We start from the raw sequence: 24117 nt of genomic DNA, 5'->3' as shown, positions 1-24117 counted from the left end.
GGTTACTATAAAGACTATATATGTGAATGTATATAAAATTACTTGCTCACTTGACAATAAGATGTAAATATTTCTCCAGGTTTATTCAAATAGCCTATTTCCCCTTGAAGTCTGTGGGATTTGAAACACGTACTTGAATAATGTTTGAAGGTTTAAGTTAGACTTGAAGTAAGATCTGTGGCTGCCCAACTTGTAAAATAGACTGCTTGTTAAATTTGCTCTCCCTTTTATTTTCTGGCAGGCATCTGGCAATGTGTCATTTTTAAAGGTCAACTAACCTTGTTTGGCTCTGGATTGTACAATAGCCTTCTTCTGCATTAAAAAAAAAATATGTGACAGCCAAAAAGAAAGTGTGGTGCCTTCTATCTTGAGACTAGTTATACCCACCATAATCTAGAGAATTGATATGATAAATAAAGAATGTGTTTTCCCATTTGATATAAAATATTGATATAATTTAGAACTCTGGATCTATGAAGTTATCAGAGACACTAGTCTGATCATAGAATGTCAAAGAAGCTCCTCGAAAGAAACAACAGCCTTTCCTCTTACCTCTTTTGTTCTGCTCCATATGGGGAACAGATGAGCATGGTATTTGGAAGAGGAGGAAGTGGGAGGCCACCGTAAGTTTGCTTTGTTGGGTCAGCTGCATCTTACAAAGTGGAGTTAGTCATGACTAAGTGAGCTCAATGATTGATGCATCCACCTACAAATCATGGGACCCTAAGAGATCATTTCCATGTGGGGATGGGATGGTGTTTTATACCAGCATCAGTAATACATGGAATGATAGAGTATAAATCAGGGAGTAAGGATACTCCAATATTATTCAAAGGTGAAAACTATGCTAATGAGATGGAATAACAAATAAATATAGAAGTGCTCAAAAAAAGATTTAATGCACATTTTTAATGTCAATCCAGTTTTTTAACCTAATATAATGTTCACTGAGTATCCAGTACTTCCTAATTGGGCCTGATTATAATTATATATAAACAAAACATAAAATTTTGAGGAAACAATTATTCTTTTAAATTACATATATTATTTAATATGTATATAGTAAAATATATACATTATGTATTAAAATAATTATTTTTTATATATGTAATGAGTACAGACCTGCCTTTAAATATGTTGGGAGCTCACATTTTATATATGCGTGTATCTGCATGTGTTTGTGTATCTGTGCATATTCTCTCATATGTATATTTATGGATTTTGCAGGAATATAGCAAATCATTTTCAATAATCATTCACTTTAGAATTTAGAAAGCATTTAGAAAGATCCCAAATCACTTGCATAGCAAATTCACTATATCTACCTAAAAGTAGTTGAATGCTTGAGAAAATGCTAATGACAACAACAAAATACCTTACTTAGTAGGGAGATAGTCTTAGGTTGATATTAATTTTTTTTGGCTCCTAATAAATTTAAATGAATGTTAAAGATTCCTTCTAACAAGTCTCAAAAACTGAACTAAAAAGCATACTACTTTATAATTGGGCTTTTTATGCTTTTGCATAATTTTATAACAGACATGAATATAGTGTTTTGTTTACTTAACAAAATATTAAAAATTACAATACCATATATGCTTAATTTAAAATCTGTAATATAATTCAGTATTAAAGAAAATATAGCTAAAATGAAAAATAAAATGCCCAACAATTGTATTTTTGAATTGGGTTCTTTATATATGATATATGGATTGTTTATTCACAACAGAAAGAGGATAAATGTGAGCAGTAAGACAGTAAGACATTGACATTTATTAATCTACATAAAATGCCAATCAAGATAAAATTTCACTGGGTATTTTTAAATATTTATTTTTTATTTGTCAAACTATATGGCCCAATTTCATTGGATAATTGAAAATTCTTAGGTTTGGGCTGAGTAGACCCAATGTAAGTACCTTAAAAAAATTTGCAAATGGGTATTGCTTTACTAATATCTCTTATTGATTTTTTCCATATAGTATTTAAACTCTTTGTGTTGAATTTTTTAGGTGATTTTATACTTCTCCTTTGCTCTAGTACCATGAGCAATGCTGAGTGGCTGGTTTTATTTTTATAGTTGCACATTGTCTGAGAGACATTATTATCTATGAAATCACATTTTACTTTTCCAAATTAGTTGAATATTCTAGAATATTAATTATGTGGTAATTTGAAATAGTTGACATGTATATCTCATGTATATTACATATTATACACCATATTGGGTATTTAATGCCCCTTTATTTGCTTTTTTACATTATAATTGTTCATTAACTTTTTTATTATATAGTTTATTGACAAAAGCCACAGGAAGACAAAGCTGGAATAATATAATATGCCTTATCTAATTGTAAAAGTCACATATAATTATTAATTTTAAAATTCTAATTAGTTGCCCTGAAGCATTCTTTGTCCCATTGTATTTTTGATTATTCATCCTCAGTTACTAAATGCAGAGCCTTTATTTCCTCTTTTTTCTATTTTCTTATTTCATTTCTCTGCCTTTTCTTTCATTTTTAGGAGCTGGAATTTTATTTTTTTTTCTTCTTTTCTTTTTTTTTAATCTTTTTGCAGCATAGTAGTGAATATATTTGACCTTTTTTATGCATAAGCCTCCTAACTTTTTACTGGGTTTTTGTGATGTTCTGTCAGTTTCTTTTTTTCCTTTCTTGCAGCAGTGGATACATTGCCCCCAGATACACAGTAATTGCTTACAAAAAACAGGACAATGCTACAAGCCAGAATACAGATCTGAAAAAAATAAAATAAAATGACGAGTTAAAAATACCTACGCATCATGTAGAACAGAGTTTATGATAATAGCAGCTTCCATGTTTTGGATTAAAGTTAAACCACAGTTAACAGGTCAAAATTAATGGATTATTTAATACTTCTTTATTGAGTATTCATGTCCTGACCCCAAGATAGTTCTGGGAATTTTAAAGAATTGCTAGATTTCTCATTTTGCAGTGTTGTGGTAGAGTGTGTCAGACACTCTGAAAGTTCAGTTAATTACCACATCAGAGTATCCATCTTTCTGATCCAGTGTCCTTAATTTTTATTGCAATTTGAAAATGATAAATTTCAAGGGGCTAGTTTATATGCTATAACAATCTAAGGAGACTTAATGAGAAATATGCTCATTGTAACTGGAGCTCACATAAAAATAAAGGTCGGATTATATAAGAAAATATTTTTATTTTAAATATTTTGTTTAATCAAATTCAAACAGAAATATATCTTTAGCATACACTGAGTCAGTGGATTTTGTGATCTGCCTTTGTTTCTTCTTACATTTAGAAAATTTCAATTTGACCTCAACCATCTCTCTATATGGCCATTTATTTACCCATGTAGTAGTTAAATTACACATAGTAAAACCCTGACTTTTGTAATTTTATTTTTTGGTTCACATATGTTGTTTTGGTATAGAATTACACAAAGGATAAAGAAGGCATTTCTTAACATTTTTCATGTTAAAAAAATTTCTAAGATACATTGTTTTACATTTAAATATTTTAGAAATAAGAATATATCATATTTTATGACCTTCATTAAAAGCAAATAGCTATAAGGATCTGAAAGAGATATTTGCACTCCCATGTTCATTGCAACATTATTCACAATTGCCAAGGTATTAAAGCAACCCAAAACTCCATCAACAGATGACTGGAGAAAGAAAATGTGGTATGTACATATAATTGAATATTATTTAGCTTTTAAGAAAAAGGAAATCCTGCCATTTGCAGCAAAATGGATGCACCTGGAGGACATCATACTAAGTGAAATAAGCCAGTCACATGGAGACAAATACTGCATGATTTCATTCATATTGGAATATCTAAAATGTTCAGTCTTAAAAAATCAGAAAATAAAACGGTGATTGATAGGGGCTGAGCTGTTCCATGGGTACAGAGTTTCCATTATGCAAGATGAATAAGTTCTAGAGATCTGCTGCACAACATAATGCTCATAGTTAACAATACAGTATTAGACATATAAAAATTTGTCAAGAGGGTAGATTTCATGTTGTGTTTGAAACATACTCAGACACAACAAAACTATCAAAAAATAAAAACAGAGGCACACGGAAACACTGAAATGTAGTTAATGTGTCTAGTACTTTGTGGGGGTGATTTTATAGGTGTATGCATATAAAAACTCATCAAATTGCATACATTAAATTTGTGCAATTATTTTTGTATACAAATCATACCTCAATAAAACTGTTAAAAAAAAGAAAAGAGAAAGTAAAAAACAAATGACTACCACCAACAACAAAAATGTCCAAGAACAGTAAATAGAGTTTGTATATATACATGATGTATTTTTTATCGCCATTGCTTCTCATGTATGAAAAGAATTTTTGTTAAATTGTCACCTTTGTTGAGTTATTTGTTTTTGTAATATGATTTGTAGCTTGAGTTTAACATAATTGTGAAATCCTAACTTTGCTGTTTTCAAAGGTAACATTTTGTGAAAGAATGAAAGCAAAAAGTTATTCTATCCTCAGAATATTGTCTGTCACATGCCAATCAACATAATTAAAGGCAATAGAAATTGCCAAATTTCTCATGTATATGTATGTATATATAATAAAAATAGGCAGGGGACAAAGTAATATACATGTTTCATGAAGGACTATTATTCAGGGAAAACATCTTCAAACCTTTCAACTGACTTTCAACATTAAGTAGTCCAATTTTCTTGGTGCATAATATTCTCAGGGTTGGTGTGTGGAGACTAGACAAACCACAGAATCATAGTAATTTAGGGTTTCAAGAAAATTGAAGACTATCTAACCCAATTTTCCAAATTGTAGAGTCAGGAAAAAGAATTTTTCTCTGATCTCCCAAGAGGAAGTTATCTTTTCTATGTGCTCTCATTTTTCCGCACTGTAGCATTTATGGCAAGATGATTATTATGGCCTATTTACTTCTTTATATCTCTCCTTAAGTAATAAGTGTTTTGAGCACAACACTGTACTATGGGCCCTGTGTTCTTAGAGCATAGCACTATACCCAAAACGTAGAGAATCTTATCAAATAAATTATGATCAATAATTCTCTTCCATAGTAAATGGCCACCAATGTATATTTGAAGACATTAGGGCTATGAAACTAAAAAAGAAAAAGAAACTTCCATCACTTCTATTTTTAGGGATTTTACTTCTCTTGACATAAGGTTTGTGTGTCTTTGTAAATACCACTAATTCTGTGTGAATAATTACTAATAATACTACTAATACTGTTACTTGAGTAATTCTATTAGCTTGGAATCACAAAGAACAGGTCTATGTTCACATCTAATTATAATCACTCAAATCTTTAAAAGTAGCTATCATACCCCTACTCATGTCCATTTTACAGTCTCTGATTCACTCATGCTATCTCCCTATTTGATTTAAAATGTTGTTGCTGTATATGAAGTTATATTTCCGTTCAGCTTAGCAGAAAGTTATCAATTCGCTAGGCATTCTCTTAGAGTACATATGGTATAAAGGTGAATAGACATACATTGTTTTGAGGAAATAGATAAATTTATAATTCTAAAATATTGTAGGGCTTTATCACATGATATTGTATTTAAAAATGGTGTCTGAGATTCAGATATGCACAAATTCCTACGGGAGCATAGAGAACAGGCTTTTAGTTCAACCAAAGAGGTCAGGTGAACAATAATTTTATTATTTTATTTCATCCTCTTAGATGAAATAAAATATTCATATTATTCACACCTGTCAACATCTTTTTGGATCTTTATTCCATCATATAAACTCTGTTCCTCCCAAGCTTTTCTCATTATTCACAGATTTTATAAGCTTTTAAAATGATAACTTCATCTTAAAAATGTTGATGAGTACAAGATTGGGACTGTAGTTTATGACATAGCTTGACAACATTCTCCCAGTTGGAATCACCCATCACATGACTCAAATAAAGATTCTCTATTGTTGATAATGAAATGTTTGCATTATAAAGGTTTTCTTACAATAGTAATGCATCATACTATGAAAACTACAGTACTAATAAGTAACTTCACATGCTTTAAAGTAGCTACTTAAAAATATTTCTTTTGGACTGGTAGATGCCGATGTTCTTGCCATAAGATAACTTTTAGATGACAGCACAATTATTTTGTTTCTGAAAGGTAGAATTTTAAAAATAGACTTTCTTCCTATTTTGTGCTTCCAGATACGGTACACAGATAAATCCTAGTAGAGACTTATATATATTTTATTTCTTTATAAAACTTTTTCTTTAAAGTTTGAATCTGTGAACTGGTACTCTGCTGCAGTGACAGGAGAAAGTTAATGAAAAATGTTTTCTTTTGTTCACCATGAACTTTTCTTTCAATTGAGCTTCCTAAATCTGGTGTTCTGGACCACAGCTGAGTGTCAGTTAGAAATGGAACAGGGGCAAAAAACAAGGTAGCTACATCTTCCCATGAAAACAATTAATTTGGGGCACACCCACGTGAATATGCCTCCCTAAGTATTATACAGCAGTTTTGCTGTTTTATGACTTCTTCGGAGCATTTAGTATCACTGACTACTTTTTCCTCTTCCCCTCTGCTTTTCTTTACACCACCCTGTCCTGATTTTCCTGATTTTCTTATTATTTCCTGTGAAATATGATGTTTAACTAAACAAGTATGATTCTTCTTTTGCTACCCATTGGAATCACTTGGTAACTTTTCTTCTTTCTTTTTATTAAAAATAATACCCAGAATCTCACTCACAAAGATTGTGACTTAATAGATCTTTGTCTGTGTGTGTTGCGTGGAGTCGGGTAAGGAATTTGGCACTGGTAGTTTTAAAAGTTTCCTCTGGTAATTCTGATGTGTAGCCAGAGATCAGAACCATTATCTTCAATTATAAGTTGAACCGTATACCATTACCTACAAAAATGTCAAGTTCATATGGCTCGACCAAATATTTTTTCTTTCTGTATATTTACACTTGGCACAAGCTGGAAAGAATAATAATCATAAAATTAAGTTTATATATGACTTACTCTGTTCAAGGCACTTCTTACATGCTAACTTATTTAATACTCACTGAAACCCTCAGGGATAGACATTAGTAATACCCATTTTGCAGATGAGAAAACTGAAGCACAGAGAAGTGAAATACTCAAGGTCACAGGGCAGATATTCGTGGGGTGTCTGTTTACTGACAGGATTGTCAGCTCCCCAAGGGCTGGAAGCCATTGTTTTGTTCGCTAATGTCTTTCAGGTACCTGGAACAGTGTCTGGCACATACAGAAGCTTAACAAATATTTTTTGAAAGAAAAGAAGAAAGAAAGAAAAAAAGGAAGGAAGGAAGGGTGTTTCATTTTTTATAGAAAGTATATGTGTGGGGTTCAAATTTGTAGGACTATTTGTGTTTTAAGATTTTTCTCTAATATCTTTGATGTACATGTATCAAAAGTTGGAAAACACTTTAGATGAGTAGGAAATATTTTGCCTTGATTTTAAGTAACTGAGTAGTGGAAAATAAATTCAGTTGTCCCAGAGAAGTCTACAATTCTGTTGACAAAACATTTAAATCCAATTTTTAAATTTTCAGATTGAGTTAGTAATTATATGGCAAGTAGTTCAAGATTACTCTAGTAAACATGTATATCTTTACTGAATGGCTGCAAGGTTTTGCACTGTGTGTGGTTTTACACTTATATAGGAGAATTACAGATAAAGAAACTTCAGAACTATATCAAATCTTTTAATGTAGAATTTCAAGGAAAGGGGCCTTTCTTTTAAATCTTCCCACCCTGTCAACAACCCATACTGGTTAAAGTAAATGCTGAAGAACTCCTGCCAAATGTCACATCCACAAACAGTACGAAATGAAAGCAATATCTGTTTCTCTTAAGTGTGTGTATGTTATCATAAAATACAAAAGATGAATATTTCATATTTCAAATTGTGGATTCAAGCTATTACCCTAGCTGTAAATAAAATTTTATACCTGGGACTACTGGCATAATACATTAGTTTTACTAAAAAAAGAGAAATACATATTAACCTACTGCCTTTACCTTCTAAAGACCGATAAGGGGCATTTTGTGGTAATGTCTGCATGCTTTCAGGGACAGAAACCTAATTTAAGCTGTTTCAGTTTAGGGAAAGATAAAGGCCTTTTTCTCTCCAGAGTAGTGATGCCACGGCGCAATAGGCCTAAACGCTGCTTTCCAGATTGCTTGTGAGTCATTTGGTTCTTTTATTAGCTTTTCTTACATTACCATCTCATCTTTCTCCTCGCTGTTCTTCCTGTGTTTTGGACAGCGAAATTGGGAAATATGTGGCACTTGGTGAGTGGTAGAAAACGGGAGTGAGTGACTGCCTGGTTCCCATGTGGTTATGTTAGCTCGCCTGCACGTCTGATATTTAAGTGTCTCTCAGCACTGCCAGATGGGTATGAATCTGGGCTGTAGGACCTGAAGTCCTAAACTGATCAAGACATGTTGTGAAAATAGTAGCTGCTTTTCATTGAGCTGTCTATTCACTAGGAACATTGCTGCGGTTCCCTGATATCTACTACTCAGAGACTTTTAGACTTAATTTAATTCTTGTTCAGGAGAGCTTTGGGGGTGGGTCTGAGATAACTGCTCTGGGGCATAGTGGTTGGCACATGGCAAAATATGTACAGTATTCTCTCATAAGAGAAAAACTAGTTTTAGTGAGAGCAAAATCTGTACTAGAATTAGATTTAAGATTTGTAATTTAATCAGTTTTTATTTTCAGGGGCACTGCAAGATATCTACTTTTCTAAAAATGCAATTTATATATAATGTTGATATTTATTAATTACTATTCCTGGAGTACTTTCTAAAGTTCATGAGATATAATTTAAATAGTTATTGAAAACCTGCTACAGATTCTAAAGGAAGCACACTTGTGAATAACTCATGTGTTTGTTGTATGCCTCCGTATACAGGGACCATCCATCAGTTTACTGCCTCTTGTTCCTTCCAAGTTTTTGAATGCTTCTGTAAACCCCAAAAGGACTCATTAGGCTTGTTTCCTTTCCATTTTGAAGTCCCAGTGCTTAGAGTACTTTCACAAATAATGATTTGAACTTGGGTGAAAATTTCTGGAACATACCGAAGATCAAACAAATCATCTAATATCAAACATTTCCAACGACAGGACTTGGAAGTGAAATCTATTTCTAAAATATCCTGTATGAATTTGTTAAGAAATTATGTGGTAATTATACCCCAGATAATACATTCATATAAAATAATTCAGAAATAATAGGAGAAGAGAAATACATAGGGATTGGTATGAATGTCCAGGTATGTCCTGCAAGAATAGGAAAGGGTGAAAAAAGTGGCAAAGATAATTATTAAAATAATTAATGTTCTTTTTGTTTATACTTCTTTTTGCAAACTAATTACAACTTCAAATACAACTCATTAACCTGACTTAGGAATATTACAAGTAAGAAGGATTTTATATCCTAAGTGTGTTGAAGTTATACAAATATTAAATTTTGTGTTGAGAAAACAGGGTCACCCAATACTTCAGAGATTGCGTACTTAAAGATAGATACACCTATCTAGGCAGCAGACTTGTTGTGAAGGCCAGTAGAGGGTTTTAAAAATGAATTTGAAGGTCTTGGGAGAGGCACGCTCTTCCAGATTCCAACTGAATAATACTCCTTATTGACTCATACTTTGTGTTGAATTATATGGCTTTACTCATGTATGTTACATTTTTGCCTAGTTCTGAAGACACTTGAGGTTTTAGACCTTTCAGATGCTAACACCTCTGATGAAGACAGTTCTTTTTAATGAAATAATTGCTTCTGAAAATTAAATACAAACTACCCTTTTCCGCTGTAAGTTATATAAGTCATTATTTTTGTGTTTAACTATTTAAGTAGATTGAATACTGAACAATTTGACTTGTATGAAATTTCTCTTGTGCTACAGAAACAAATTTTAATCAATATCAGTTCTTTCTTTTAGGCACTAGGGAGTATTTTATTCATCTTTCACCTACATTTAGATCACGTGTATATTGCACACATACACAACATGATATAAAATAGTAGAGAGGTGTATGCAATAAGCACATAATTCATTATTCAAGGGCAAGTCTTATAAGTGAGATTTTGAGAGCTCATAGAGAATAAAACTAACATTAACTCAAAGTTTTGTGCATGTCATATTTTATAGGAAAATACTTCTAGAGCATTTTTGATTTTTTTAAATTTATTGCTGCTACTTTTCATTGTCTTGATCTATGGATGCTGTTACCTTAGTTACACATTTTTTTTGCTCCTAATTTAGTTGACTTTACAAGTTCATAAAAATAAAACAGAACATGGCACTAATAAATTAAAGCAAAATATCAGAATTTTCACACATGAAAAAAGTCATAAATGGTTTCTTCTTTCCTGGCGTATTCTTTTCCTTTTGTGTTGAAGACTTGGAAGGCGCAGGAAGAGGAAGGAGCTTTTGTATGTGAGTTAATCATTTCCTTGTTAACCTTTTGCCATCAGCCACAATGAGATTCATTCTGCATATCACAGTAGACCTCATCAGCAGGAATATGCTTTCATCTTTGCCGCCTGGTTTTACAGGACTGGAGGGAATTGGCACCACGAGGGAATCATTAAAAAGATAATGGACAAATTATTTTCTCATATCTTCATTCAGACTTCTTTCTCACTGGTACCCTCGTAACTCAGTGAGCATCAATCAGAATTATTCATTAAGAACTCAGGGATAGAACAGTATCCTGAGGGAGAGTATGGGCGGGGAGGAGGGGTAGCACAAACTTGGAAGCAAGTAGGACTCAGACCCAATATATCAAAAAGGAAATTCTGGGATTACTTCCTGTGGATGCATTTGAGTTAAAGATGTTGGAACCGTAAAGAGGGGACATGCTCATCCTAAAGCCCTAAAAATATAGATGGTTTTCAATTTAAAAAAATTCAACTCTCAGAAAATGAGTTTCAGCAGTAGCTAGGACATTTTCATTTTGTAGAATAAAAGTTTCTTTCTTTTTTTTCTTTTTAAGCCTGTTCGTACACTGAGTGACTATTTGTTAGTAATTAGATTTGAGCATCTGTCTTGTTCTTGTTGAGAAAAAAATTGAGTAGGGTATAGGAAAAAATTGAGTAGGGTATAGGCAAGAAACATATCATTCAAGAATATTGCAGTAGGAGAGAGAGATTGAACTTAACTCCTCTAAAACAAAAGGCAAGAATATTTTTAAATGCTGGGCTGAGCTAATGGGAAAGGATTGGAGGACCTTAGGAGTAGGCTGGTTGATGTAATTAGGCTATCTGTGTTGGCTAATTTCTGTGTTGGCTAATTGTCCATTATTAAAATTAGGTTTTACTCTCTTAGAGAGGCTAAGAAATATAGCACTATCTCCTTTGATGACTACATTTCAAAGGGATGGCTCCCAGCTCCCCGAGAAAGACCTTCCTAGGTTGTAAAACTGGCAAGAGGCTGGGAGAGGATTTATATCTGAATGCGGCAGAGGAAGAATTTACAGTGGAAAGTTTCCTAAAATAAATGCTGTAAGAAAAGAGAGGTCAGGGACCTATAACCAGGAAGAAATCTGTCTTAAGTTGAGTCAAGGTGATAGAAATGTTAAGGCTATCTTGGTCAATAGTTATTAAGTCTCTGTGCAAACCCTGGGAATTTTCCTCTTAACAGATGGAAGTTGGACAGCAAAGCTAAAGCAGTGATCAAACATCTTGGTGGACCAGGCCTCAACTGTGATCGCCCAGACAAGGCTGGTTCAGGTTTGCTGAAATTAGGATAGGTTGTAAGGAGAAGTGTTTCATGAAAACCCCAATTTAGAGAAGCAAGAGCCCCAGTGCATTTTAAGGGCTAACCTGAATGTATAGGCTGCAAAGGACTATCCCTTTAGAAATGAGATGATTTAGCGTGTCTTCTTCAGGTGTAATAGCTTAGCATGAACCCAGCCATTCTCTGGTCTGAACTCACATCTTCAGGTTGGGAGAAAAGCGGGATTTGATTTGTCAGACTCCTTTATCATGAGTTAGTCATTATCAGATGCCAAGCAGATTTACTGACACACCGCCATCCAAAAAAAAAAAAAAATATTTCAGACAACAGTTGTATGTGACAATGTGTTATTATCTACTTCTGATGTCTTAATACACATAGAAGTGACACAGATTTGTTGTTATAGGAATAGTGATGGAGAATATTTTCCCCATTGGAAATATTCTAGGTTTTTAATTTTAATTTCTCATAATTAAGCAAGATTGTATAATATTGTGTATTCGCACACAGAAGAAGAGTAATATTGTAAATTCTTTCCAGGGATAATGAATGGAAAATTACAAAATCTGCCTGCAGTTTTAATGCAGCTTTTCTGAGAACCCTCCCATCTTTTTCTGTTCCAAATTTAGCAGGTGGATGCACTGTATTTAACTTAAAATCGTTGTAGGGTACTTTATAAAACATGAGCAAACTGGGCTGTGAATTGAATTATGAATCAGACATATTAAAAGTATGAAGGGAGAAAATGATAGTATCATTGATGGACCAAAGTAACAAGCAAAGTAACAAGTTATGAATAAACTGCTCACTGTTCTCATGTATTTTTAGTAGAGGTCTGAGAATAATCCAACTAATCCTCAATGTACAATTAAAGTCTCAACTATTAAAAAATGTATTGTAAATAACTAGTTGGAGATACTTTAAGTAAACATACATCACACAGAGGAAGTTTAATTGCTAAACAAATGAAAAAACAGTTCAGATGTTTTAGCTTTCTCAATTGTTTCTAGCCAAACAGTTATAACAAGAAGAAAAAAGGTAAGAACAATTAACAGGCAAAGCATCAAGAGGGAATTTTCTTTAGGTGATGATATTCTGCATAATTTGCCTTTTAAGAAAATTTTAATCTAAGTCAATAAGACATTTAAATATTACCAGTAGTTTTTTAGAATTATGGATTCTTTTCCTCCTAGCTTTCTTTTTGGTGTGATTTTATTATACATGGATATTGTTTATAGGTATGGATAAGCATAGATACACATAGACATAAAGATGGCTAAGATACTATTCTAATCTGCTTAAACAGGTATATGTTTCTTACAACTGATTGAAAGCTGACTCACATGAAGATACAAGATTCTCAGGCAGTATGTCCTTCCTCGTTGGCAGCACTTTCTGCTGAACCTGCCAGTGAAATGAAGCCTATGACTTTCTGGGGAGGCTAGTCCTCAATTTTTCCTGCAAAGGTTTGGTCCAGGTGGAGTTTTTCCAAAGTGTGCAAACTGCACTTCAATTAAAGAAGTCTGCAGGGCACATAGAGCAGATGAACAGCAAGTGTGCTGAGACTTCTCTTGACAAGACTTTGGCAGGTGGGAAGCCCAAGTGAAAAGCAAGCATTTGGAAACGCTATATGGAAGCAAATATTTAACACGCCAGAGGACTGGGAAATAATGTTGGTTTCTCATCATGTTTCCCATTTTCTTGGAATTTCTAGAAGGAATTCCTTATGATTACAGATAATCAAAAGAATCCAACATATTCAAATCTGAGGAATTGCGACAATCCAAACATTGTGCTTTTGAACAGCTGCTAAAAGGAAAGGCAGCAGTTATTAATTCACTAGCACCTTTTTTTTTTTCCTAAACTGAAATACTGACTGCATTCATTTTGGCTAAAGTCATTCTTGGAAGCTTAAAAAATTCCCAGTAAGAGTCTTTCATTTTTGTAAGTGCAGATGATTTTCTGTTGGCTTTTGCTTAACTTCAGCTGACTTTCATGTAAATGTACTGCAGACGGGGTTAAAATGGCCAGATGGTTGCTGCAAAATGCTTTTCTGACTTGAACTTCTCCTCTTCCTCACCTCTTTCATATGCTTCAATCCTGAGCACTATGGACTTGGGAGAGAAGTATAAATTAATTTGATGGATGTTCTGGCTGCTTTATCAGCTTAAAAACAAGGTAATTGAAAGGTTTCATCCAGTTAGTTGAGACCTTCATGTCTCTGAATTTCACATTCCCAAAGGAGCCTATCTGGTATCATTCTAATTAGAATTACAAGTATAAGTAGATATAATATGATTATTGACTAGGGACAGCTCAATATCTATTCTTTCTCTACTGTACTCAATGTCTAAAACTCTCAGCACTGCTTCCATTTACCAAAGACCATGTAGAAAGCCTGAGGAGGTACCTACAGAATCTCTGAAAAAGACTAATATTGGAGTACAAAGGGTCAGGATGATCCTACTGTACATCCTGATTTGTTCTGAAACTTTCTGGGGCCCTAGGATAGTTCAGAAGATTGAATAAGTTAATGGTTAATTGGGTAAGTTAATGAAGAATGATCTGGCCTCCAAGCCTTGATTCTCCCAATAATGGACATTGCAAAGTTCTTTAGTTTTCCTCAGTATCAATTTCTTCATATGTAAGATGGAGATGCTATGTGGTTGGTTGTGGTAAATTATGTGAAGAATACTATGGGCTACATAAATTCAAAAAGTTATTATTTTGAATCTAATAATGAGTATAACAGTTACCTAAGAATCAAGTTGGATACAATAAATATGGTAAATTAATGAATATGTAAAACTCACCGAGAATGTTGGCTCTGCTAATTTAACGTCAAAACTGATTAATGCTTATTAAGGCTCTTTAGCTAAGCAAATTAGATATGAATTTATTTTCCTGGCATCTGAGTCATATTTTGATTTGTCTAATGCCAATGACTTCAAAAGAGTTCTTTGCTTAAATCATCTTTAAGTAAGCTCAAAAACAAATGTTAAATGATCCTTGGAATATAAAACAATTCAGAGTGCCAAATTGTGTAGTGATGGTCTTTTAAAATACTCTGTTGTATAAGGAAGAGGTAAAGATAGAGGTGGTATTAGTATTATTAGAAACTATTAAAGGTAGGCAGATAGATTATGTTGAAAAATCATGCTTGCCACTTACAGGCATGCATACAACCTCCCAGGAGCAGTATTAATTTTCTTGGATGACCTCTGTGATGAAATGCCACACCTGCTATGGGTGTGCTCAAACAACAATAGAATCCTAGAACCCAAGAGATTGGAGAGATCTTAGAAGATACAACTGTCTCATATGCTTTTACCAGCTGTTCCTCATTGTAGGATATTTTCCCAACAGATCTTCATAAGGCTGGCTGGCTTTCTGGCCACTCAGGACTCAGTTTCAACATCATGTCATGATAGAGGTTGATGGACCACTTGGTTTAATATTAATTCCTGGGGAGCCTCTCTCCATTCCATCGCTTCATTTCATTCCTTCCTGTCATTTCTTGCAATTTGTCATATGCTTTTTTAGTTTATTTGTTGCTTCTCCCTATCACCTCCCTCATCTCTAGAATGTTAGCATTTTCGAAGAAAGGACTTTGCCCATCTGAGTTCTGCTGTGGCGCAAGCATTTGGGACACACGTAGTAGGAAATAAACACAAGTTTTTAAAGTTTAATCAGTAAAACCCTCATTTTGCCTATGAAGAATCAGAGGATAAAGCCAACTAGGGACTTTGCCCATTGTTAGACAGATAGTCACTGACAGAGCCAAGAATAGAGTCAATTCTCCTGTCACATAGCTTAATGTTCTGTTTAGTGCACTCATTCACTGCTCTCAGGGTGACTTATACATGCTTGACCCTGTACAAAGGGGAATAAAACATTAGGTCTGTTTATAAGCTCTCTCCATTTTCTTGTGAGCAGTGCACTTTCTCCAGCAGATGTTTTCTCCAGAACAGTAGCACCACTCACCATGGTAATCTGATCTAGGTCTTATTCAGATTCCATTAGGGCCCTTCTAGTCCTGTAGTTTTATCACTAGAAGCAACAGACTTGTCTTCTGTATTACTGTGTAAGAAGGTAAACAAACATAGGCTATTATGCGTTCATTTATGCATAGACTTATGAGCTAATTACACATTTATTGAAGACTTACAGGCATTGTTTTAGATACATTGTTCGGGTATATAAAGAGAAAACTGAGACTGGCTTCACTAGGGTTGCAGCAGCATTGTTACACTGCCATGTGTTAAATGCTACGTGGGAAGGGGTACAAGGGTGTTTATCAGGTGTCACAGGATCAGAGAAAGTTGCCGGAAGTGCTGGATGAGAAAACAAGTTATCATAACGAAGGGTAGAATATGAGCATATGTTTAAAGATGGGCCATTGTATCCCAAAACGTGAATGAGACAAGGACTCTTGTTCATTCTTGGTGGGAAAGCAAATGTTACAGCCACTTTGGGCAGTTTGATGGTTTCTTACACAATTAAACATATTCTTACTATATGATCCAGCTATACTGCTCCTTGGTATTTTCCCAAATGAGTTGAAAACTTGGGTCCACACAAAAACCTGCATATAAACATTTATAGCAACTCTTTCCATAAATTGCCAAAACTTGGAAACAACCAAGATGTTATTTAATAGGTGAAGGGATAAATAAACTGCAGTCCATGCAGGCAGTGGAATATTATTCAGCAATATGAAATAAGCTATCAAGTCATAAAAATAAATAAAGCTCAAATGCATATTTCTAAGTAGAAGAAGCTAGTCTGGAAGTGTTGCATACTATGTGTTTCCAGTCATATAATATCCTGGAATTTAAAACTATGGAGACAGTATAAAGATCAGTGATGGCTAGGGTTCAGGAGGAGGGAAGGGAAGCATGAATAGGTGGAACAGAGGGCATTTTTAGGGCAGTGAAATGATTTTGTGTGCTACTGTTATGGTTGATTCGTGCCATTATATACCTGTCAAAACACATAGAACTCTGCGACACCAAGAAGGAACCATAATGTAAAATATGGGAGTCAGTTAATAATACTATATCAATATTGGTCCATCAATTTTAACAAATGTACCACACTAGTGCAAGCTGTTAATAATAGGGGAACCTGGGGTTGGAGGGTAGTGACGAGTTATGTGGGAACTATTTGTATTTTGCCCTCAATTTTTCTGTTAACCTGAAACTGTTCAAAAATGGCCTATTAAAAATGAATGAGACCTAGTGAACATTTCTGACAGTTAAATCTATGCAGTTTCTCAGAAGAATTATTTGTTGATTCATTTAGAAGACATAGACTAAGCTTACTTGGTGTTGATCTCTGTGTGAGGCACTGAGATCCAGAAATAAAATAGGATATTTGCTATTAAAGAGTTTATAATCTCATAAAAAGAAGTAGCTATGCAAACAAGGTCAATAAAGTATGGTAGGCATTTGGGTAGAAATGCATATATGGTACAGTGAGCAGTTGTACCTGTTTGGAGTTGAGGTTCAGGAAAGTATTCCCAGAGTTGCTGAACCTGGAGCCAGGTCTTTATAGCTAAATAAGAAAATAAATGTGAGTTGACTAATAGATGATTCTAGGGGGTAGAGATAATTAAAGTTATGTACCTTGGATTCTGTACTCGATATGGAATAAAATCAATCTATAGAGCTTTAGACTATATCAAAAGAAATAGCTCTTGAAATCTGGTTGAAGTTTTGGGTTGAATTCTTTCCGTGTTTCACATTTGCAGCCTGAGATAGCTAAAAAAAAATTATGGCTGTAATCACCACTATATGCTTTCCTCTATACTTTCAATGTGATACTTCAGATATCTATCCTATGATAAGACCAAAAAGAGCCATGGGAGAGGTATACTTAGAGGAGTGCCAGTAAACTGTGTTGGAGCTTAAGAGGTCAAGCATTTACGAGGTTAGTTTACTTAATGGGCCATAAACATGAAGACAGGGAAGATAGGAAGCTAATGAGCCAGGGACCCAAATTCTAGGCAAATAAGGAAGCGTAGCCAGGAGGTCAGTAAACGGCAAAGGCAAATGTAAAGAGCAGAAAGAGGTGCATAACTACTGTCAGCACCTTAAGTTTATTACTAGCATTATTATGATCATAATTGTTATTGTCTGTTTTTTATACAAATGTCAAGAACTTATGGTTTTAAAGCATCAGTAAAAAGCATGGAAAATTTCATTGCAATCCAGTATATTCGAGAATGGGCAGCTTCAACTAAGAGGAATGAGCATGAGGGAAAAGAAGGTCTTTTTTGGGGAAGGGTCAGGTTTCAATTAAAGCCAGAAGATAGAAGGAGCTACCTGGATACATTTGTTTACAGTAGGTTTCATTCTGGCTTGAATGTTGTCAGTTAAAACGGTGAGTAAAAAAGCCCTGCAAACAGATGCTAGATAGTGAGAAGACCACAGCCTGCAGGGCCTAGTATTTTGTCCAATAACTGGGAAAGATAGAGATGAGAGGTACAGGAACCGGTAGTGTTTGATTTCTGGTATTTCTGTAAGAAATCAGTCCATCAAGCAAGTGGTTCTAATTCTCAAAAGAGTATTAGCAGCCTGAAATATAGAGACTCAAAGGTATATAAGGTGCACTAAAGCAATCACCCTTGATGATTGTTCTCTCCAGATAGAAAAGGTTTTCCTTTATTGTGGTTGGAGATCTGGGCTGATTTTTGTGTGTTCCAATTTAGAAATTTGAGGTAGTTAGGAATCCCGTAGCTCTGTTAAGGGAAATTGTTACCAATTTTTACTCACAAATGAACTACTCTACTATAGCCAGCCTTGAGGGGTACAAACTGATACTGGTGAAACCCCAGGCCCTGGGTATTGAGTAAGGCATTGACAGTTTGAGTACTGACATGTGATTGGGAGATAAGTAGGAACTGGTGGGAGGAAAACAGCCAGAAATTGGCATTCATAGGATATAAAGAAAGGGGAAACAGTGAGGATTAAAACAGACACAGGAGTTAAGGCTAACTTCAGAGGGGCAAGCAGTGGGAGAGTCTTCTTGGATGTTTTTACAGAACTAGTTTCTGAAAGAAACCTATTTAGGCTTAAAGAAACAGAAGCTTACTTAATGAAACAGTTATTATTTTTACATTTTCATGACAATTAAAATTTATTTATATAAATTTCACTGGGCTGAAAAAGTGTCATTATGTAAACACACACAACGATGTATTTCTTATACTTAATCACTCGGGGGATGTCAGCAATTTTCTTTTGGAAGCAGTATGTTTCCAGAAGTAGTTTTTCTTTATTGTAAAGGATATTCTGTTTGAGATAGTATGGATTTTAAAGAAACAACTTGTCCTAGAAAGAGAAAATTATGAAGAATTATAAAACATATGCTTAAGAAAAATTAGGTTAAAAATGGCAGCTGAACTATTGGAAGATGCTGGTCATGTAATGTGAGCAAAAGCATAGCAATAGAGGGGTGGGATTGCTTCAGATAAAGAGCCAGGGAGGCTCAAGGGACATGTCTCTATGGCTTCTGACCACTCTGAACCCAGTACTGTTTTCCATTAGGACTTACCAAAAAGCCCAAAGGAGCCAAGAATTCCAGGTTTCTAAAGATAACATATATTCGCCTCCATGGCTTACTTATTGGGCTTGGCTACTTAACTTCTTATTTCACCTATTGGGGATTTAGTTTCCTCAGTTATAGCCTGCTCTAAAAGGTGTTTGTGAGAAATACATCAAATAATGCTTGGTGAAGTATCTGGAATGTAGAGTAAAGCTTCAATAAATAAGTTATTTTTAAAAAGCTAGGCTTTGTAAATGAAAATGACCAATGGTAAATTTTACTGGAGTCCTTATCTGTAAAGGAGAGCTGTTAATAGTGTCACTTTATATGTTGTTATTATCTTAACAAAATATCTATTAAACATTCAACAGTCTTGGGCTACAGAAAGCAATCCGTGGATGTTATGTCTTATTCTTAATAGAACCTGTCTTCTCCAACTTGCTTCTTACTACTTTCTGGGGTTGTTGACGTCAAAGCAGAGGTTGAAAAGTGGTAACCCACATACTGGATCTAGCCCTTGTTGTGTTTTGTTTTGCCTAACACTATATAAGTAATGAATCTGAAAACATATGGGTGTAGCACATACTTCCTAGGTTGTCACAGTCCCCACACTGTCTTTTGTTTTGTACCTGGCACAGGGGACATAGGCTATCTGTTTGATAATTAAGACAACCTATTCTAAAATACTTGTCTATCATGTTTTCCTTTGCTCTTTCATTTCTCTCATTCCCATTTTTAAAATTCACTACTTATTTTCAAGCTCTGTTTAATATATGAAGAATAAAAATAGTTTATGCATCTGCAGAAACTCTAACAATACATTTCATTGGTTTACAATAGGAAAATGAATATTGGGTCAATATGCCATCACAAAAGTTTCTCTGAAGACAATTCAGTTAATTACCTTTAGTTGTTTTTTTTTCAATGTAACACAAATAAAAATGAATAGTATAGACTTTCATTTCCTCATTTTTCCTTGTGTCATAAGATATTTTATTCTTGAATTGTGTATTGTTGTTCACAAAAGGTATTTTAAATTTTATTTGTATAGAGTAGCAAAAATATGCTTAATAGAAGAACTCAGAATAATATTAACATATAAAATGAATGCAAAATAATAGAAGCATTCTCAAGTCAAAACAGAGACTTTATGAAGATGCATTAGTTTTTAATTCACAGGAGGTCACACTTAGTGGTCCAGTATTTACACTAATTGTATCAGTAGACTATGGTAATCAAGAACACCACTTGGTGGCAGAATTAATTTTTTTAGTGCAAAAAAATGCCCATCATCCAAACACAAAGAGAGGAAGTCAAATTATCTCTTCGCAGTTGATATGATTCTATACCTAAAAAGCATCATAGTTTCTGCCCGAAGACTCCTAGTACTGATAAGCAATCTCAGTAAAGTTTCAGGATACAAAATCAATGTACGAAAATCAGTAACATTTATATGCACCAATAATGTCCAAGTTCAGAGCCAAATCAAAAACGCAAGCCTATTCACAATACACACACACACACACACAAACACACACACACACTACCTAGGAAAACAGCTAACCAGGGAGGTGAAAGACTTCTACAATGAGAATTACAAAACACTGCTCAAAGAAGCTAGAGATGACACAAACAAATGAAAAACATTCCATGCTCATGAATTGAAAAAGTCAATGTTGTTAAATATTGCAATAGGAAAATGAATATTGGGTCATTTTTTAAAATGGCTATACTACTGAAAACAATTTACAGATTCAATACTATTTCTATCAAATGACCAATGTCTTTTTTCACAGAATTAGAAAAAACTATTCTAAAACTCATATAAAAGCAAAAAAGGGCCTCAATAGACAAAAGCTAAGTAAAAAGTACGAATTCTGAGTCATCACACCACTCGACTTCAAACTATACTACAGGGCTACAGTAACCAAAACATCATGGTACTGTTACAAAAACAGACACGTAGACCAATGGGACAAGTTAGAGAACCCAGAAATAAACATCTATTACACATCTATTACCATCTGATCTTTGACAAAGTTGACAATAACAAGCAGTGGAAATAGGACTTCCTATTCAGTAAATGGTGCTGGGATAACTAGCCATTTGCAGAAGATTAAAACTGTATCTCTTCCCTTAACCATATAAAAAATAAACTCAAGATGGATTAGAAGCTTAAATGTAAAATGATAAAAGCCCTAAAAGAGAATCTAGGAAACAGCATTCTGAATACAGACCGTGGCAAAGATTTCATGATGGAGACTCCGAAAGCAATTGCAACAAAAACAAAAATTGATAAGTGTGTCCTGATTATAGTAAAGAGCTTCTACATAGCAAAAGAAACTATCAACAGAGTAAACAGACAACCTACAAAATGGGAGAAAATATTTGCAAACTATGCATTGGACAAAAGTCTAATATCTAGAATCTATAAAGAACTTAAATCAAAAAGCAAAGAAAAAACAACCCTATTAAAGATGGGCAAAGGGCATTGTATTAGTCAGTTACCATGCTGCTAATAAAGACATACCTGAGACTGGGTAATTTGTAAAGGAAAGAGGTTTAATTGACTCACAGTTCAGCCTTGGTGGGGAGGCCTCAGGAAACGTACAATCATGGCAGAAGGGGAAGCAAACACCTCCTTCTTCACAGCAGGGGAGAGAAATGCAAAGCTAAGGGGCTGGTGGAGCCCCTTATAAAGCCATCAAATCTCATAAGAACTCACCCACTATCACAAGAACGGCATGAAGGTAACCACCCCCATGATTCAATTACCTCCCACCTCCCATGACATGTAGGGATTATGGGAACTACTGTTCAAGATGAGATTTGAATGGGGACACAAAGCCTAACCATATCAGAAATATACAGACACTTCTCAAAAGATGACATACACACAGTCATCAAGCATACAAAAAAATGCTCAACATCACTAATTATTAGGGAAATACAAATCAAGACTACAGTGAGATACCATCTTACACTAGTCAGAATGGCTATTATTAAAAAGTCAAAAAACAACACAACAAATGTTGGCAAAATTGTGGAGAAAAGGGAACATTTATACAATACTGGTGAGAACGTAGATTAGTTCAGCCACTCTGGAAAGCAGTTAGGAGATTTCTCAAAGATCTTAAAACTACTATTAGAGCCAGCAATCCTATTACTGGGTATATTCCCAAAGGAATATAAAGTATTGTACCATAAAGACACATCCATGTGTATATTCATTCAGCACTATTCACGGTAACAATGACATGCAGTCAACCTAAGTGCCCATCAACCGTGGACTGGATAAAGAAAATGTGGTATATATACACGATGCAGCCATAAAAAGAATGCAATCATGTCCATTGCGGCAACATGGATGCAGTTGGAGTCCATTATCCTAAGTGAATTAACACAGGAACAGAAAAGAAATACTGCATGTTCTCACTGGTAAGTGGGAGCTGTACACTGAGTACACATGGACACAAAGAAGGGAACAGTAGACACTGGGGCTTACTTGAGGGTGGCGGGTGGGAGAAAGCTGTGGATTGAAAAGCTACCTATTGGGTACTATACTCACTACCTGGGTGACAACATAATTTATAGGGCAAACCCCAGTGACATGCAATTTACTCAGCTAACAGATCTGCACAAGTGCCCCCTGAACCTAAAATAAAAGTTGGAAGAAAAAAAACAACAATCAATCAAACCAACCAACCATAGAAAACCATTCAGCCACTTCAGATATTTATGAGAACGAATACATATTTGTTGTTTTGGGTATTTTGTTGTGTGGCAAAGACTAACACATACAGATTAGTTTTGTTTCTCCCTAGCACAAAGACCTGCCCAAATACCCTCAGTAAGTAACTACAGAATAAACAAGTGAACAAAAACATTTCAAGTGTGGGAAAAAAAAAGAATGCCCATGAGATTTGTCGTCTGAAACAAAGTATTTCGCAGAATATATTTAATATGTAAATGTAGTGGGGTAAGTTTAATGGAAGGAAATTTTTACCAAATAAAAGATATTAGTTGAAATAATTTATTTTGTACTTCATATTATGTTCATTTTTTTGGTGGAGGTAGTTACTATGAATATTTTTGCTTGATAATAGAGATGTATGGTTGTTTGGGGGAATCCAGGAATATAAAAAGTAGTACAGGCTACATGCCTGCATCTAAAGTGTTTGTGGGACCTCAAAATACAAGTAGATATGTTTTCACTTTAGTACTACTCATTCAGCCACTCTCTGGCCAGCTGATCTGCCATATGTTAGTAGATGGATACTAATAGTTCCTCATTTTTTTCCTACTTATTCCATATGGTTTTAGTTTGTTTATATGTTACAACTTTTTAGTTTTTCAAGTGTTTTTGGACACCTATGCGTCTAAGTTTTTACAATTTTGTGATGAAAATATTACCTGGTCAAATACATTTGGGATAATGTACATTATCTAAGAGATCTAAGAGATTCACAAAGCCCATGAAATTATTTAAGAGGCTGATGATTTCTGTATTGAAAAACCTGTTTGATTTTCTTTAACTCAATTTATTACATTAAAAAAAGACAGACTTATTGTTGAATATTAACTTTTTAACTTTTTAAAGAGAACTAGGTCAATGGATGCTGCTATAAGCAGCATTATATCATTTTATTATTTTACTGTCTTCTTTTTCTTGTAACTTTGGCCTAGCATAATAATATTAGCTTTGTCTCCAACCTCTCCTTTCTATGGATTTTACAGTCTTAGTACCTACTGCTAACTGATTTCATTCTCTTCTTGCTTGCTTACTTACAGT

General features: G+C 34.3%; 1 long non-coding RNA gene across 1 annotated transcript in view; it reads left to right on the top strand.

The window, feature by feature from the left end:
• LOC105376755 (uncharacterized) overlaps positions 1–24117 on the top strand; it is a 673333-nt gene that overhangs the window by 381829 nt on the left and 267387 nt on the right. The window lies entirely within an intron of this gene.

The sequence above is a fragment of the Homo sapiens genome, chromosome 2 (genome assembly GCF_000001405.40).
Source record: "Homo sapiens chromosome 2, GRCh38.p14 Primary Assembly".
NCBI lineage: Eukaryota > Metazoa > Chordata > Mammalia > Primates > Hominidae > Homo > Homo sapiens.
The sequence above is the reverse complement of the archived record's forward strand: the minus strand, read 5'-3'. Positions and strand labels throughout refer to the sequence as shown.